The sequence below is a fragment of the Homo sapiens genome, chromosome 19 (genome assembly GCF_000001405.40).
Source record: "Homo sapiens chromosome 19, GRCh38.p14 Primary Assembly".
In the NCBI taxonomy this organism is placed as follows: Eukaryota; Metazoa; Chordata; class Mammalia; order Primates; family Hominidae; genus Homo; species Homo sapiens.
Genome location: NC_000019.10, coordinates 38,914,633 through 38,930,891, shown reverse-complemented (window position 1 = coordinate 38,930,891; position 16,259 = coordinate 38,914,633). Strand labels below are relative to the sequence as shown.

The 16,259-nt window shown below is 53.9% G+C and overlaps 1 protein-coding gene across 2 annotated transcripts, besides 2 other annotated features; it reads left to right on the top strand.

Moving 5' to 3' along the window:
- Window positions 45-504: an enhancer, noted in NCBI's record as "active region_14604". NCBI's record gives its function as "activates an Ori minimal core promoter by ATAC-STARR-seq in GM12878 lymphoblastoid cells {active_cell/tissue: GM12878}" and the evidence as "EXISTENCE:reporter gene assay evidence [ECO:0000049][PMID:35858748]".
- On the top strand, window positions 129-15,626 carry SARS2 (seryl-tRNA synthetase 2, mitochondrial). 2 transcript variants are annotated; one of them, NM_001145901.2, is made up of 17 exons: window positions 129-422; window positions 4,592-4,687; window positions 8,625-8,654; window positions 8,814-8,890; window positions 9,296-9,365; window positions 9,446-9,500; window positions 10,743-10,806; window positions 11,025-11,130; window positions 12,079-12,126; window positions 12,362-12,470; window positions 12,753-12,798; window positions 12,884-12,971; window positions 13,059-13,168; window positions 14,578-14,671; window positions 14,763-14,855; window positions 14,986-15,051; window positions 15,143-15,626. In NM_001145901.2, the coding sequence occupies exons 1-17, from the start codon at window positions 156-158 to the stop codon at window positions 15,284-15,286; spliced, it is 1,563 nt and encodes a 520-aa protein (NP_001139373.1). In that variant the 5' UTR covers window positions 129-155; the 3' UTR covers window positions 15,287-15,626. The 2 variants fall into 2 exon arrangements, with proteins under 2 accessions (NP_001139373.1, NP_060297.1); NM_017827.4 differs by lacking the exon at window positions 8,814-8,890 and having other exon boundaries at window positions 9,225-9,365.
- Window positions 11,883-12,753: an enhancer, noted in NCBI's record as "H3K4me1 hESC enhancer chr19:39408779-39409649 (GRCh37/hg19 assembly coordinates)". NCBI's record gives its function as "activates a minimal SCP1, AML or CMV promoter by ChIP-STARR-seq in primed H9 embryonic stem cells {active_cell/tissue: H9 hESC(primed)}" and the evidence as "EXISTENCE:reporter gene assay evidence [ECO:0000049][PMID:30033119]".

The following is a 16,259-nucleotide window of genomic DNA, read 5'->3' as shown; positions in this document are numbered from 1 at the left end:
AGGCGGGACACAGACGACGATTGGGCGACGAAGGACTCTATCGCGGTCAACTTTCCTCAGGATCTGATTGGCTCGTCACGGTCAGGTTCGCTGCCTTGCAATTGGTCTAAACGCGGAGTGGGCGGGACGAAGTGCCGCCTTGTTCCCGGTCCAAGATGGCTGCGTCCATGGCGCGGCGCTTGTGGCCTTTGCTGACTCGTCGGGGGTTCCGGCCCCGGGGAGGCTGCATCTCCAACGATAGTCCAAGGAGAAGTTTCACTACAGAGAAACGAAACCGGAACCTCCTGTACGAGTATGCGCGCGAGGGCTACAGCGCACTCCCTCAGCTGGACATAGAGCGGTTCTGCGCATGCCCAGAAGAGGCCGCACACGCCCTGGAGCTCCGCAAGGGGGAGCTGCGCTCGGCGGACCTGCCCGCGATCGTGAGTGCGCCTGCGCCGGCCGGGGGGCGCAGACGTTTGCTTTACGGAAGAATTGGGTTTGCAAGATGCCCTCCGGCAGGGGGCGAACCTGTAGTAGGAATTTTAGTTATTTCCCAAGTTAGCCAACGTCTTGTGCATGGCACCCACTTATGTGCCAGTTGTCCAGTGAGTGCTGAGGCCCTACTATGTGCCAAGAATGCCTACTGTGTCCTGGACACCCATTATGCGCTTGTTTCATACTGCTCGCTGGGTACCTCCTGTCCTTTAGGAACTTGCTATGTGACATTGCCCTCCGTGCTGCAACCTCATGCCAGCCTTTCCCTAAGACCACAAAGGAAAATGGGGAGCCAAGTGTGAATCGGACGGGGTCAGGGCTGGGGTGTGGTGGAGCTCTTGCGTTTAGAGAGAGAGGTAGGGAGAGTTGTGCACCTCCGCCACACATAGCAGGCAGTTAAATAGAGTTAATGAATGAATGAATGAATCCATTAATGAATGGTTCTATTAAACTGATACTTAAGGTGCAACTGCTATATTCCGGTGTTCTAGATGTTGCAAATATGCGGTGAATAATAATAAAATTGCTAGCACTTATAAAAGGGAATTAGGACCGGGTTCACAATATCTCTGTGTTGAGGTGCTAACGATAGTGGGGTCCCCACGTCTTCCCATTCCTCTCTTGGACTCCCCTCCCAGCCTGTTTGAAGTGCTTTATTCACTTTAACCTCGTTTAATTTTCACAGCAACTCTATGAAGTAGGTGCCATTATTTCTCCCATTTTATCAGAGGGGAAACTAAGGCTTCGAGAAGCTAATTCACTTGCGCTAGGTCATGCAACTGGGAAGTGGCAGAGTGGGAATTTTAACCTGTGCTTTCTGGCCTAGAATCCACTTTTTTTTTTTTTTTTTTTGAGATAGGGTGTTGTTCTGTCGCCCAGGATGGCAGGATGGAGTACAGTGGTACAATTATAGCTCACTGGAACCTTGAATTCCTGAGCTCAAATAATCCTCCCACTCAGCCTCCCGTGTAGCTGGGACTACAGGCAGACACCACCACGCCCGGCTAAACTTTTGTATTTTTTGTTGAGACAGGGACATACTATGTTGCCCAGGCTGGTCTTGAACTCCTGCGCCCAAGTGATCCTCCCACCCTGGCCTCCCAAAATGCTGAGATTACAGGCATGAGCCACCACACCCAGACTCCACAATCTTAAGTACCCTGCTGTGCCCTCTCATGATCTGAGTTCACAGTCTAGTAAAAGACATTTTTTTTTTGAGATGGAGTTTTGCTCTTGTCTCCCAGGCTGGAGTGCGCTGCGACTTCTGCCTCCCAGGTTGAAGTGATTCTCCCACCTCAGCCTCCCGAGTAGCTGGGATTACAGGCACATGCCACCACATCTGCATAATTTTTGTATTTTTAGTAGAGACGGGGTTTCACCATGTTGGCCAGGCTGGTCTCGAACTCTTGACCTCAAGTGATCCACCCACCTTGGCCTCCCAAAGTGCTAGGAGTACAGATGTGAGCCACCATGCCCCACTAAAAGACATTTAACATATACAACTATACATATATACTAATTACAATTTCTGGTAAATTTGACTACCTAGAGTAATCAAATTCATAGAGACAGATATACTCATTATAATCTGTGGTAAATGCTGTGAAGGCAAAGTGGAGGACAGCCTGGGAGGACTTCTCAGAGGAGGTGGCATTAAACAAAGATCTGTGGATTGAGAAATCACCAGGGAAGAGGGAAGAAGAGTATCCCAAGTAGGGGACCAGAATATACAAAAGCCTGGAGGTAGGATGGAAAATTCCATTTGATGGCCATGTAGATAATTTAGAGCGTCACATCCTTTAGCAGGCTTTTTCAAACTTTGTGGCCAAGAGTAAGAAATACATTTCACATCCTGACCCAGTACACACACCCAAAATTGAAACCGGTTTCATTAACAATTATTGCTCTTACCACGTGTGATGCATTCTTGTTCTTTAATTATATTCTCTTTCATTTGTAAAGTGCTAGTTGTTGTTTTTTTTTTTTGCGGGGGGGGGGGCCAGGGGTGTGTTTTTGTTGTTTGTTCGTTTGTTTTTTAAGACTGAGTCTTCCTCTGTCGCCCAGGCCTGAGTGCAGTCGCACAATCTCCGGTCACTGCAACCTCCGCCTCCTTGATTCAAGTGATCGTCGTGCCTCAGTCTCCCAAGTAGCTAGGGTTATAGTTGTGCACCACCACACCCAACTAATTTTTGTATTTTTAGTAGAGATGGATTTTGCCATGTTGGCCAGGCTGGTCTCGAACTCCTAACTTCAAATGATCCACTGGCCACGGCCTCCCAAAGTGCTGGGATTACAGGCATGAGCCACTGCGCCTGGCTATTCTCTTCATTTTCAAAGTAGTAGTTTAGACGTGCATTTGAGCAGCTGTTTGTTTGTTTGTTTGAGATGGAGTCTTGCTGTGTCGCCCAGGCTAGAGTGCAGTGGTGCAGTCTTGGCTCACTGCAATCTCTACCTCCCGGGTTCAAGCAATTCTCCTGCCTTGGCCTCCTGAGTAGCTGGGATTACAGGCGCACGCCTCCACCCCCAATTAATTTTTGTATTTTTAGTAGAGACAGGGTTTCACCATCTTGGCCAGGCTGGTCTCGAACTCCTAACTTTGTGATCCACCTGCCTCGGCCTCCCAAAGTGCTGGGATTACAGGTGTGAGCCACCACACCCAGCCTCAAGTAGCTATTATTAAAAACAAAACAGAAAAGGACAAGTGTTGGCAAGAATTGTGTTGTGGAAACGTCGGAATCGTTGTGCATTGCTGTTGGGAATGTGTATAAAGTGGTACGGCTGCCATGGAAAACCGTATGGCAGTTCCTCAAAAAAATAATAAATTTTTTTTTTTTTTGGAGACAAGGTCTCACTCTGTCACCCACGCTGGAGTGCAGTGGCATGATCTTGGCTCATGGCAGCCTCTCAGGCTCCGTGAGACTTCCAGGCTCAAGCACAAGCAATCCTCCAACCTCAGCCTCCCAAGTAGCTGGGATTACAAGCATGTGCCACCATGCCCAGCTAATTTTTGTAGAGACAGGGTTTCTCCATGTTGCCCAGGCTGGTCTCGAACTCCTGGGCTCAAATGATCCACCTGCCTCAGCCTCCCATATTATGTACATTGTAACAATTTTTTTTGTTTTTGAGACAAGGTGTCAATCTGTCACCCAGCTAATTTTTTTAAAGTTTTTTTGTAGAGACCGGGTGCTGTGGCTCACACCTGCAATCCCAGCACTTTGGGAGGCCAAGGCAGGCAGATTGCGTGAGGCCGGGAATTCCAGACCAGCCTGGCCAACATGGTGAAACCCTGCCTCTATTAAAAAATACAAAACTTAGCCAGGTGCAGTGGCACGTACCTGTGGTCCCAGCTACTCAGGAAGCTAAGGCAGGAGAATCACCTGAACCTGGGAGGCAGAGGTTGTAATGAGCCAAGATCATGCCACTACACTCCAGCCTGGGTGACAGAGTGAGACTCTGTCTCAGAAAAAAAAAAAAAAAAAAAATTTCTTAGAGGCAGGTCTTCCTGTGTTGCCCAGGCTGGTCTGGAACTCCTGGGCTCACTCAAGCAGTCCTCCCACCTAGGCCTCCCAAAGTGCCACACCCAGCCATGATTTTTTAAAGTGCTAGTTTAGAGACTTTTTTTGTTTGAGACAGAGTTTCACTCTTGTTGCCCAGGCTGGAGTGTGCAGTGGCACGATCTCAGCTCAGTGCAACCTCCGCTTCCTGGTTTCAAGCGATTCTCGTGCCTCAGCCTCCTGGGTAGCTGGGATTACAGGTGCCTGCCATCACACCTGGGTGATTTTTGTATTTTTAGTAGAGATGGGGTTTCACCATGTTGACCAGGCTGGTCTTGAACTCCTGATCTCAAGTGATCCACCCACCTTGGCCTCCCAAAGTGCTGGGATTATAGTTATGAGCCACTATGCTCGGCCAGTGTGTCTGAATTCTGGGCATCTGTGTGGCCAGCTGAACCTCAGGGCATTCCAGTACTGAAGGGAGGAGGGGAGGATGGCCACTGAGGGCTAGGTAGGGATCTCTGCCTCACTGCGCCGCAGGTCCAGGTGGCCAGTGGGCTCCAGAGAGAAGGGTAGGGGTGATGGCTGCTTCATCTCCTTTTCTCTTATATCCACCCCAGATCTCGACATGGCAGGAGCTGAGGCAGCTGCAGGAGCAGATCCGGAGCCTGGAGGAAGAGAAGGCAGCTGTGACTGAGGCAGTGCGGGCCCTGCTGGTGAGCATGGTGCCCTGAGTAGGTGGGGAGTGGCCACGAGGGTGTCTCTAGACACAGGTAACAGGAAACCGAATTTAAAGAACTTGAACAGGCTGGCACGGTGGCTCACGCCTATAATCCCAGCTACTCGGGAGGCCTAGGTTGGTGGATCAGCTGAGGTCAGGAGTTTGAGACCAGCCTGGGCAACATGGTGAAACCCCATCTCTACTAAAAATACAAAAGTTAGGCGGCATGGCGGTGGACACCTGTAATCCCAGGTACTTGGGAGGCTGAGGCAGGAGAATCGCTTGAACCTAGGAGGCGGAAGTTGCAGTGAGCTGAGATGGCGCCACTGCACTCCAGCCTGGGCGACAGAGCGAGACTCCCTAAATAAATAAATAAGCAAGCGTGAACAATGTGGACATGCATTACCTCACATAGCGAGCTGTTGCAGGACCCTGGCATCCCTAGGGCTGATTAATTAGCGGTTCTTCCAGCATCCCCAGCCCAGGTCCTTTCCTTCTCTCTGTACCGGCAACTTCACTGCACTGATCTTTCCTCAGTTTCCCATCAGGGTTTCCAGATGGCTGCTGTAGTCCAGCATCTCCTCACATGACTGTGCCAGGGGAAGGAGACAGAGACTTCTCTGGCTTGAGTTCCTTTTTCAGGAGCAAGTACACCTTTCCTGAAGCATCCAGCAAAGTCCCCTCGTGTCCCCTGGGCCCAGACCCCCACCACACTCCAGTTGTCAGCCGGAGGAATGGAGTTCCGGCAGCCGGCATAGGCTGATCAGAGGCCATCCTCCACCTGGGCCCACTTCCCCTGAACTACAGGCTACCAGGGAAGGGTGAACTGCGTCAGAGTTCTGTGGGGAAGGAGGAAGAAGGGATCTTTATTTTGTTTTTATTTTTTTGAGACCGAGTCTCACTCTGTTACCCAGGCTGGAGTGCAGTGGCATGATCTGGGCTCACTGCACCCTCTGCCCCCTGGGTTCAAGTGATTCTTCTGCCTCAGCCTCCCCAGTAGCTGGGATTACAGACATGCGCCACCACGCCCGGCTAATTTTGTATTTTTAGTAGAGATAGGGTTTCACCATGTTGGCCAGGCTGGTCTCAAACTCATCACCTCAGGTGATCCACCCGCCTTGGCCTCCCAAAGTGCTGGGCTTACAGGTGTGAGCCACTGCGCCTGGCCTGGAAGGAGGGATCTTGGGTTATACAACCAACAGTGTCTGCCACAGACGGCTTAAAAACAATCATAAAAACAACAGCAGACCTTTATGTAGAAGTCGCTACACACCATACCAGGTGTTTTCCATACTCTTAATCCTCACAGCCATTTGTCACACAGGAACAATACAAACCCAATTTTACAGCTGGGAAAAAGTGAGGCCCTAAGAGATTAAAACGGGCCTAAATGGCCGGGTATGGGGGTACGCACTTGTAGTCCCAGCTACTCTGGGGCTGAGGCAGGAAGATCGCTTGAGTCCAAGAGTTTGAGGCTGCAGTTAGCTATGATCGCACCATCACACTGCAGCCTGGGCGACAGAGTGAGACCCTGTCTCCGAGAAAAAACAACCAGAAAAAGTACGTAAGTCTCACAGCCAGGAAGTGGGAGAGGCAAGGTTCGCACCTAGGCAGTTGGTTTTTACCACTCTGTTTGGAGGCCTCTGCCACCAAGAATCACATCTCCCAGCACCTACTGAGTGGCCAGCCTCGGGCTGTCTACATCATGGACAACCAATGAAAGCAACACAATGGATCATTTAATGTTCTTTGAGTGCTAACTCATCTCAGGGAAGCTGCACAACAGCCCTGCCCAGGGAGGTCCTGTTATCATCCCACTTCACAGATGGGGATACTGAGGCTCAGAGGGGGCAGAGATTTTCCCAAGGGCTCACAGCATGTAGGTGCCCAACATTCAGACCCAGGCTGTTCGATTCCCTCAGCTGCTTAGGATCATGGAAGGTTCAGAATGTCAAGGGGCCTTGGTTGCAGGCCCTCAAATGCACACTGATAGACTTTACCTCTCTGAGCTTCCATTTTCGAATCTACAGACAGGGTATATTAGTCCATTTTCTTCTTTTTTTTTTTTGAGACAGAGTCTCACTGTGTCACCCAGACCAGAGTACAGTGGCACGATCTCGGCTCACTGCAACCTCCACCTCCCAGGTTCAAGGGATTCTCGTGCCTCAGCCTCCTGAGTCGCTGGGATTACAGGCACGTGCCACTGCACCCAGCTAATTTTTTTTTGAGACTGAGTCTCGCTCTTCCACCTAGGCCAGACTGCAGTGGCACTATCTCGGCTCACTGTAAGCTTTGCCTCCCGGGTTCACGCCATTCTCCTGCCTCAGCCTCCCGAGTAGCTGGGACTACAGGCGCCCGCCACCGCGCCCAGCTAATTTTTTTTCTGTATTTTTAGTAGAGACCATGTTAGCCAGGATGGTCTCGATCTCCTGACCTCGTGATCCGCCCGCCTCAGCCTTCCAAAGTGCTGGGATTACAGGCGTAAGCCACCAAGCCCGGCCTGATTTTTGTATTTTTAGTACAAGGTTTTAGAGATGAGGTTTCTCCATGTTGGCCAGGCTGCTCTCCAACTGCTGGCCTCAGGTGATCTGCCCACCTCAGCCTCCCAAAGTGCTGAGATTACATTTGTGAACCACCACGCCTGGCCCCATTTTCACACTGCTATAAAGAAAACCTGAGGCCGGGCGCGGTGGCTCACGCCTGTAATCCCAGCACTTTGGGAGGCCGAGGTGGGCGGATCACGAGGTCAGGAGATCGAGACCATCCCGGCTAAAACGGTGAAACCCCGTCTCTACTAAAAATACAAAAAAATTAGCCGGGCGTAGTGGCGGGCGCCTGTAGTCCCAGCTACTAGGGAGGCTGAGGCAGGAGAATGGCGTGAACCCGGGAGGCGGAGCTTGCAGTGAGCCGAGATCCCCCCACTGCACTCCAGCCTGGGCGACAGAGCGAGACTCCGTCTCAAAAAAAAAAAAAAAAAAAAGAAAACCTGAGATCAGGCTGGGCGCGGTGGCTCACGCCTGTAATCCCAGCACTTTGGGAGACCAAGGCAGGTGGATCACAAAGTCAGGAGATCGAGACCATCCTGGCTAACATGGTGAAACCTTGTCTCTACGAAAAATACAAAAAAAATTAGCCGATCGTGGTGGCGGGCACCTGTAGTCCCAGCTACTCAGGAGGCTGAGGCAGGAGAATGGCGTGAACCCAGGAGGTGGAGCTTGCAGTGAGCCAAGATCGCGCCATTGCACTCCAGCCTGGGCGACAGAGCAAGACTCCGTCTCAAAAAAAAAAAAAAGAATACCTGAGACTGGGTAATTTATAAAGAAAAGAGGTTTAATTGACTCACAGTTCCATATGGCTGGGAGGCCTCAGGAAACTTAAAATCATGGCGGAAGGGGAAGCAAGGCACTTTCCCTTCCACATGGTGGCTGGAGACAGCCACAGGGGGTAACTGCCAAATGCTTTTAAACCATCAGATCTCGTGAGAACTCACTATCAGGATAACAGCATGGGGGAAACCGCCCCCAGGACCCGATCACCTCCCACCAGGTCCCTTCCTCAACAGGTGGAATTACAATTTGAGATATTATTTGGGTGGAGACACAGCCAAACCATATCACAGGGTTTACACGAATGCCTACCTCCTAAAGTGGATTTTGAAGAAATCATGGCATGGGAGAGCCCTGTACATAGAGCCTGGCATGGAGGCATCACTTCCTATACGGATCTGCGGCTGTGATTACTGTTAATTATCTTGCCTCCTTGTAGCGTTAGCAATAGAGAAACAGAAACACAGAGTTGCAGAGGGACCCAGCTAGGCACTGACAGAGCAGGAGACTAAGATCCTCTGGCCTTGTTTGACCTTTCACCATTTTTTCTCTTCCCCACCCTCGACTTTGTCAACCTAATCACCCACCCTGTCTCTTTTCTACCAGGCAAACCAGGACAGTGGTGAAGTGCAGCAGGTACTGTGAAGAGTTGATGTCCTATCCAGGGTTGGGGGTGGGCAGGGAGGATACCCTGCCAGTCACGATTCTACTATTGTAACAGAAAACAACTCAAACAGGTTTAAGGGGAAAAAAAAAATAGGCTCTATTGATGCATGAAACTAAAACTGGCTTCAGGTGCGGCTGGATCCAGGTGCTGGCTCCATATTTGGTCCTACGTTCCTCCCATTCCCAGGCCAGCTTTCTCTCCTTGTGTAAGTAGGAGGCAAAGTCAAGCACGCTTTCCTGATAGTTCCAGTTAAAGTCCTGGGGCTGATTCTCATGAGTTCAGCTGACATCAGGTGCCTGTCTCTGAGCCAGTCATTGTGGCCAAGGCAATAGAACGTTCTAGTTGGCCAGGCCTGATTCTTTTCCCCACAAACCTGCCATGTGGTGGTAAGGGAAGTTCTGCGAAGACGTTCAGGATCCTGGGCCTGGAGAAGAGGCATGAATGTCCACCACAGGGGCTCTGCCGGTCAGGATCAAGGTCACACTGGATGAGGGAGTCCTGACCCTCTCCCGGGCTGAGCCCACCTGTGCTGCCCCCAGGACCCCAAGTACCAGGGTCTGCGGGCACGTGGCCGGGAGATCCGGAAGGAGCTTGTTCACCTGTACCCCAGGGAGGCCCAGCTTGAGGAGCAGTTCTACCTGCAGGCGCTGAAGCTGCCCAACCAGACCCACCCAGACGTGGTGAGCACCGTGCTGGGTGGCAGGGAGGCCAGGGGCCCACCTAGTGCCACCTTTCCGTGACTCCTGCTGTCTCCCTGCAGCCCGTCGGGGATGAGAGCCAGGCTCGAGTGCTCCACATGGTCGGAGACAAGCCAGGTGGGCCACACCCCAGGCCTGGGAGCTGACAAGCCCTGCGGTGTGGGGGTTCTGGGGTCTCGGGGTGGGGGCCCCTGGGGTCTGGGAACATGTCTGGAGCCTGGAGAACTCCTGGCGGTACAGGAGGTGGCTCCAGCTTCCTGCCTTGGCCGAGCTCGAGCTGTCTCTGAGAGGCGGTCCTTGGGTTTTCATTCTCTCCCCCTTCACCATTGGGCAGTCTCACCCTGTGTTGTGTGATTGTATCGTATGTGTGTGAGTGTGTGTCGTGTATGTATGTGTTGTGTGACTGTGTGTCATGTGTGTCTGTATCTGTGTGTCTGTATCTGTATGTGTGTGTCTGTATCTGTGTATCTGTGTGTGTCTGTATCTGTGTATCTGTGTGTGTCTGTATCTGTGTGTGTGTGTCTGTGTTTGTGTGTGTCTGTATCTGTGTCTGTGTCTGTGTGTGTGTGTCTATGTGTGTGTCTATCTCTGTGTGTGTATATCTGTGTTTGTGTGTGTGTGTGTCTGTGTGTGTCTATGTATCTGTGTGTATGTATCTGTGTGTCTTTCTCTGTGTCTGTGTGTATGTGTCTGTCTCTGTGTGTCTGTGTGTGTATCTGCATATCTCCGTGTATCTCTGTGTGTATGTCTGTATCTGTGTCTGTGTATCTGTGTCTTTGTGTGTATCTGTGTGTGCGTGTCTGTCTTTGTGTGTCTGTATCCGTGTATCTGTGTGTCTGTCTCTGCGTGTCTGTGTATGTGTCTGTCTCTGTGTGTCTGTATATGTGTGTGTGTCTTCGTACCTCTGTGTGTATCTCTGTGTGTGTATGTATGTGTGTGAGTGTGTGTGTGTCTCTGTCTCTCTCTCTGACCCCCCTGCTTTGGTCCCTGTCTCCGGGGCTTTTTCTCCCCAACTCTGTGCCTCCTCTCTGATTCTCCTCCTCCCTTCCTCGTGGTGTTTCCTTCTCCTCTGGCCTCTCTCCTCTGTTTCTAACTCTGCCTTCCCCACCCCGCGCCCTCTTATTTCCCTCTCTGCCTCCTCTCATTTCCTCTCCCTGTCTCTGTTTTTATCTCCCTCCCTTCCTGTCTGTCTTTTCTTCCCTTTCCCTCCCTTTCCGTGTCTTCTTCTCCCTTCTCTCCTCCTGCCCCTCCTTTATTTTCTCTCACCGTCCCTCCTCTCTGCTGTCTCTGGAAGCTTCTATCTGGGCCCCATCCCTCTCTCCCCGCTGCCTTACACCGGTGCTTTTCACCCACATCCAGTTTTCTCCTTCCAACCTCGGGGCCACCTGGAAATTGGCGAGAAACTCGACATCATCCGTCAGAAGTGAGCCCCTCCCCTGGCTCCCCACGCCCCTCTCCCAGCTGCCTGCACCCCGACAGCTGGCTCCTGCCTCATTGGCCTCAGCGTGAGATGTGGAAATGCCATGAATCTTTGATGCCCCAGCCCCACCCAGCAGCCGGGCCTCTTCCCCCGGGTGTTTTCATCCCCACATTCCCTGCCAGCCTGGCCCATGTGCACCCGCCTGTCTGTCTGTCTCCCAGGCGCCTGTCCCACGTGTCTGGCCACCGGTCCTATTACCTGCGCGGGGCTGGAGCCCTCCTGCAGCACGGCCTGGTCAACTTCACATTCAACAAGCTTCTCCGCCGGGTATGGGCCAAGATAGGAGGGCTGCCTGGAGGGGGTGGCATCGAAGCTGAGCTCAGAGGGCCCAACGGGGATGGGAGTGATCTCTGCTCTGCCCTAGTCACTGCTCTCAGAGCTTCATGTGTATCATTGACACATTTAGTCCTTACGACAACTTTATGAAGTGGGTGCTGTCATCATCCCCACTTTACAGAGAGGGCTTGAGGCCCAGAGAGGGGAGGTACCTATAGCCCAAGGTCTCACAGCCAGTCTGGAGCTGGGCCTAGAGCCTGTGCTTGTAATCATTGCACCTCACTGCCTGCTTGCGGTATAAAGGGAGCATTTGGGAATCATAGCATCCATTGAAACATGGCAGGGACTGGTTGCATGGAGCATTGGTCACGGTGAGGAACTCAGACATTTTCAGAGGGTACTAGGGAGCCATGGGAGGCTTTTAAGCAGGGGAGGGTGTGGCCAAATCTGTACTTTTTTGTTTTTTGAGACGGAGTCTCGCTCTGTCACCCAGGCTGGAGTACAGTGGTGCAATCTTGGCTCACTGCAACCTCCACCTCCCGGGTTTAAGTAATTCTCCTGCCTCAGCCTCCTGAGTAGCTGGGATTACAGGCACATGCCACCATGCTGGCTAATTTTTTTTTTTTTCTTTTTGACAGAGTTCGCTCTGTCACCCAGACTGGAGTGCAGTAGCACGATCTCCATGCCGGCTAATTTTTGCCTTTTTAGTGGAGAGGGGGTTTTGCCATGTTGGCCAGGCTGGTCTCAAACTCCTGGCCTCAAGTGATCCGCCCACCTCAGCCTCCCAAAGTGCTGGGATTACATGGGTGAGCCACTGCGCCAGCCCCTGCCTCAGTTTCGTCTGAGGAGGAAGGGGCTCTGCAGCACCCCTTCTTCAGGGCTGAGCTTGGGGTCTGGTAGGGGTCCCAGCTCTGCTCACTCATCCTCTCCCCTGAACAGGGCTTCACCCCCATGACGGTGCCAGACCTTCTCCGCGGAGCAGTGTTTGTGAGTGAGGCCTCTCCGCTTCCCTCGCCCACCTGGGTGTCAGGCCCTGCCGTGGGTGCCCGAGGCAGGGAAACCTGAGGAGACCGCCCTGGGGCTGGGTTGAGGGGGCCAGGCCATACCAGGGAGGCCAGGGCAGCTCCAGATGTTTTCAGGGGAGGAGCTGGGGTTGGGACTGTAAAACGAGAGGCCAGGGTTACCTGTCCCCTGATCCCTGTGGCCTGGCCTCCTCCCCCAGGAAGGCTGTGGGATGACACCAAATGCCAACCCATCCCAAATTTACAACATCGACCCTGCCCGCTTCAAAGATCTCAACCTGGCTGGAACAGCGGAGGTGGGGCTTGCAGGTGAGGACCTGTGTGGGTGGTGGGGAGGAGCAGGAGTGATGTGGAAGGACAACTGGGAGCGTCCAGGGAGCACTGGGGGGGATCACCTGCCCCGAGCAGCTCAGCAGCCCCAGGGCCAACATGTACGGCTGTGTAGGTTGTTTACTGTACAGCAGTACAGTGATAATCCAGCCCCGGGCCTTGACCTGGGGTTGCATCCACCAGAGGGAGTGCCTCTTAATCTTCCAAAGGCTTCCTCTGGGCACTGGCAGCCCTGGCTCACCCTGTGGTCTCTCCTCCCAGGCTACTTCATGGACCACACCGTGGCCTTCAGGGACCTGCCAGTCAGGTGACACCTGGTTTCCTTAGACCTTGACCCCACCTGTGACAATCAGTCTTCCCTCCTTGACCCGACTTTCCCTGCTCTCTGCCAGGATGGTTTGCTCCAGCACCTGCTACCGGGCAGAGACAAACACGGGACAGGAACCCCGGGGGCTGTATCGAGTACACCACTTCACCAAGGCTGGTGTCGCTGGGACTAAACGGGGCTGGGGTGGGGGGCCACCCCAAGAGCTCAGAGCCTCCTGACTCCTGTGCCCTCTGTCCCAGGTGGAGATGTTTGGGGTGACAGGCCCTGGGCTGGAGCAGAGCTCACAGCTGCTGGAGGAGTTCCTGTCCCTTCAGATGGAGATCTTGACAGAGCTGGGCTTGCACTTCCGGTGTGGAGAGGGGCCAGGGATCCAGGGATGGCAGGGGTGGGGTAGGGGAGGGACAAGGGGCTGGCCAGCTGCTCTTCGCTCTGGAACCACCTCTCCAGCCCCCTCGTTGCCCCCATTTTCCTGTACAAGGATTACAGGAGCATATACAGGATCCCAATCTGTCTGCCGTGTGCCGGTCGTCCCTCACAGGACTGTAACAGAAGCACGAACAGTGCACGGTGTGCCAGAGTGGAGACCCGGGCCCCTTTCCTCCTGCTGCTCCCCCTCTCTCTGGGCCACTGCCTCATCTGTGCAACCCAAGATACTTTTTCACCTCCCAGTGGAGAGTGGGGGTGGGAAAAGGGGGAGCCAGAGGTTGGGAACCCCACTTCCTCTCACCCTGTCAGTCACACGCAGCTTTCAAGAGAGGCTGAGAAATGTGGACTTCTTTTCTGGGTGACCCATTGTAAAAAACTGGGAGCGTAAGCCGGGTGTGGTGGCTCACGCCTGTAATTCCAGCACTTTGGGAGGCCATGGCAGGAGGATTGCTTGAGGCCAGGAGTTCAAGACCAGCCTGGGCAACACAGCGAGAGCTCGTCTTTACGTTTTTTAAAATTAGCCGGGTATGGTGGCACACACCTGTGGTCCCAGCTACTTGGGAGACTGAGGCAGGAGAATTGCTTGAACCCAGGAGGTGGAGGCTACAATGAGCTGTGATCATGCCACTGCACTCTAGCCTGGGGCAACAGAGTGAGACCCTGTCTCTAAAAAAAAAAAATAAAGGCCAGGCACGGTGGCTCACACCTACAATCCCAGCACTTTGGGAGGCCGGGACAGGCGGATCACCTGAGGTCAGGAGTTCAAGACCAGCCTGGCCAACATGGTGAAACCCCATCTATACTAAAAATATAAAAATCAGCCGGGCATGGTGGCACACACCTGTAATCCCATCTACTCAGGAGGCTGAGACAGGAGAATCACTTGAACCCTGAAGGTGGAGGTTGCAGTGAGCCGAGATCGCGCCACTGCTCTCCAGCCTGGGCAACAGAGCCAGACTCCGTCTCAAAAAAAAAAAAAAAACCGAGGGTGCCTAGAAGGTGCAAATGTGTGAATGGCCACTGTGAAGAGCCGGTGGACCCTGCCACGTGCCTTTTTCCCCTCCCATCAACCTCTTTTGTGCTTCCCCCTCCATGTACCACCTTCTCCATAACCACCCCTGGCCTCACAACTCTCTCCTTTGGCACTATCGTCTCCTTTTTTTTGTTTGTTTTTTTGGAGTAGATGAGGTCTCCTTATGTTGCCCAGGCTGGTCTCAAACTCCTGGGCTTTTTCCTGCTTTTTGGCTGCCTTCTCTTCCATCGTTTCCATTTGTTCCTCTTGCTCCTCCTCTCACCCGCTGACCTTCCCCACACCTTCGTCCTTGACCGCAGGGTCCTGGATATGCCCACCCAAGAACTGGGCCTCCCCGCCTACCGCAAGTTTGACATTGAGGCCTGGATGCCAGGCCGAGGCCGCTTTGGAGAGGTGAGCCCTGTGCCGCTGGGGACGGGGTGGGCAGGAGGACAGGCCTGCCCCCCATCCCTGATCCGCTCAGCCTGCCGCTCCTCCACCCCAGGTCACCAGTGCTTCCAACTGCACAGACTTCCAGAGCCGCCGCCTCCACATCATGTTCCAGACCGAGGCTGGGGAGCTGCAGTTTGCCCACACGGTGAGGCCCGCACAGCCTCCTGCCCGCGTGCCCTCGCCCGCAGCCTCTGCCGCCCTAGACCCACCCACCTTGGCTCCTCCCCGGGCTCAGCTTGGGGTGGGCGCCAGTTCCGAGCATGGCTGTCTCACAGGTGAACGCCACCGCCTGTGCTGTCCCCCGCCTTCTCATCGCGCTCCTGGAGAGTAACCAGCAGAAGGTGAGGGGCTGAGGGGCCCACCCAGAGAGGCAGCTCAGCGCCGGGGAGGGCTGGGGCATCTGCAGTGTCCTGAGGTCTGCTCTGTCCCCAGGACGGCTCAGTGCTCGTGCCCCCTGCCCTCCAGTCCTACCTCGGCACTGATCGGATCACAGCCCCTACCCACGTGCCTCTCCAGTACATCGGCCCCAACCAGCCCCGGAAGCCTGGGCTGCCTGGCCAGCCTGCTGTAAGCTAAGAACCCACCCACAGCAGCCCTCGGGGGTGTCACTGCTTCCTGGAGTTCAGGAGACCCCGGACACCTGGGACCTGTGTTGCTGAGCCCGTCCTGACATCTGTGTTCTTCCTGTCAGCTCCACGCCCGGGCCCCTGGACCACGGGGTCCACCTCTCCTCTGTCCTTGCTGCCTCAGAGTCAGTCACTGACCCTGTTATCATTGAGGGTCCCAGTGGGAAGCAGGACGTCTGGGCTTTACGGTTCTAGGGACAGGAGAAGCAGAGGAAGAGGCTTCCATCCCTCCTTCCTTCTTTCCTCCTACAGTGCTGAGCAAAAAGTCCCCAATAAATGGTCAGGACAAAGGCCTCTGTGGATCTGTGAACAAGGGAGATGCCTGGCTCTCTAGGAGCTGCTGAGCAGCCGCTTGGAGGCACTATCCTCAAAGGGTCTGTGGCTGCAAAGACCATGGCTGGAAGTGCCTAGCCACCCCCCAGTGCACATGGAGGCTGGCCTGGGGCCACCAGGGTTGCTGAGAGGATGCTGAATTCTCTCCCCTTCCTCTGGGACAAGCCAGAACAGAGTCACCCTCTGAGGGTTCCTTCGAGCTGACCCCAGCCCCAGCCTCACCCCTCAGTCCCCAGCTCCCCATGCAGCTGTCCCTTCTGCAGCTCCAGGTAGGGGCCCAGTGGGCATCCCAAACTCAGGGAAGCTACCTGGTCCTCTGATCACTTGGCCTGCACCTGCTCCTCCTCAGGCATGCCCATCCCAGCACATTCTCCCGGCTGCCCAGGCCACAGCCCTTCGGGTTAGCCTCGACTTTTATCTCATATCCACTCCACTTCATTAGCAACCCTGGCAACACCGCCTTCAGAATATTTCCAGAATCTGGCCAGGTACAGTGGCTCACGCCTGTAATCCCAGCACTTTGGGAGGCTAAGGCAGGCGGATCACCTGAGGTCAGTTCAAGACCAGCCTGGCCAACATGGTGAAACCCC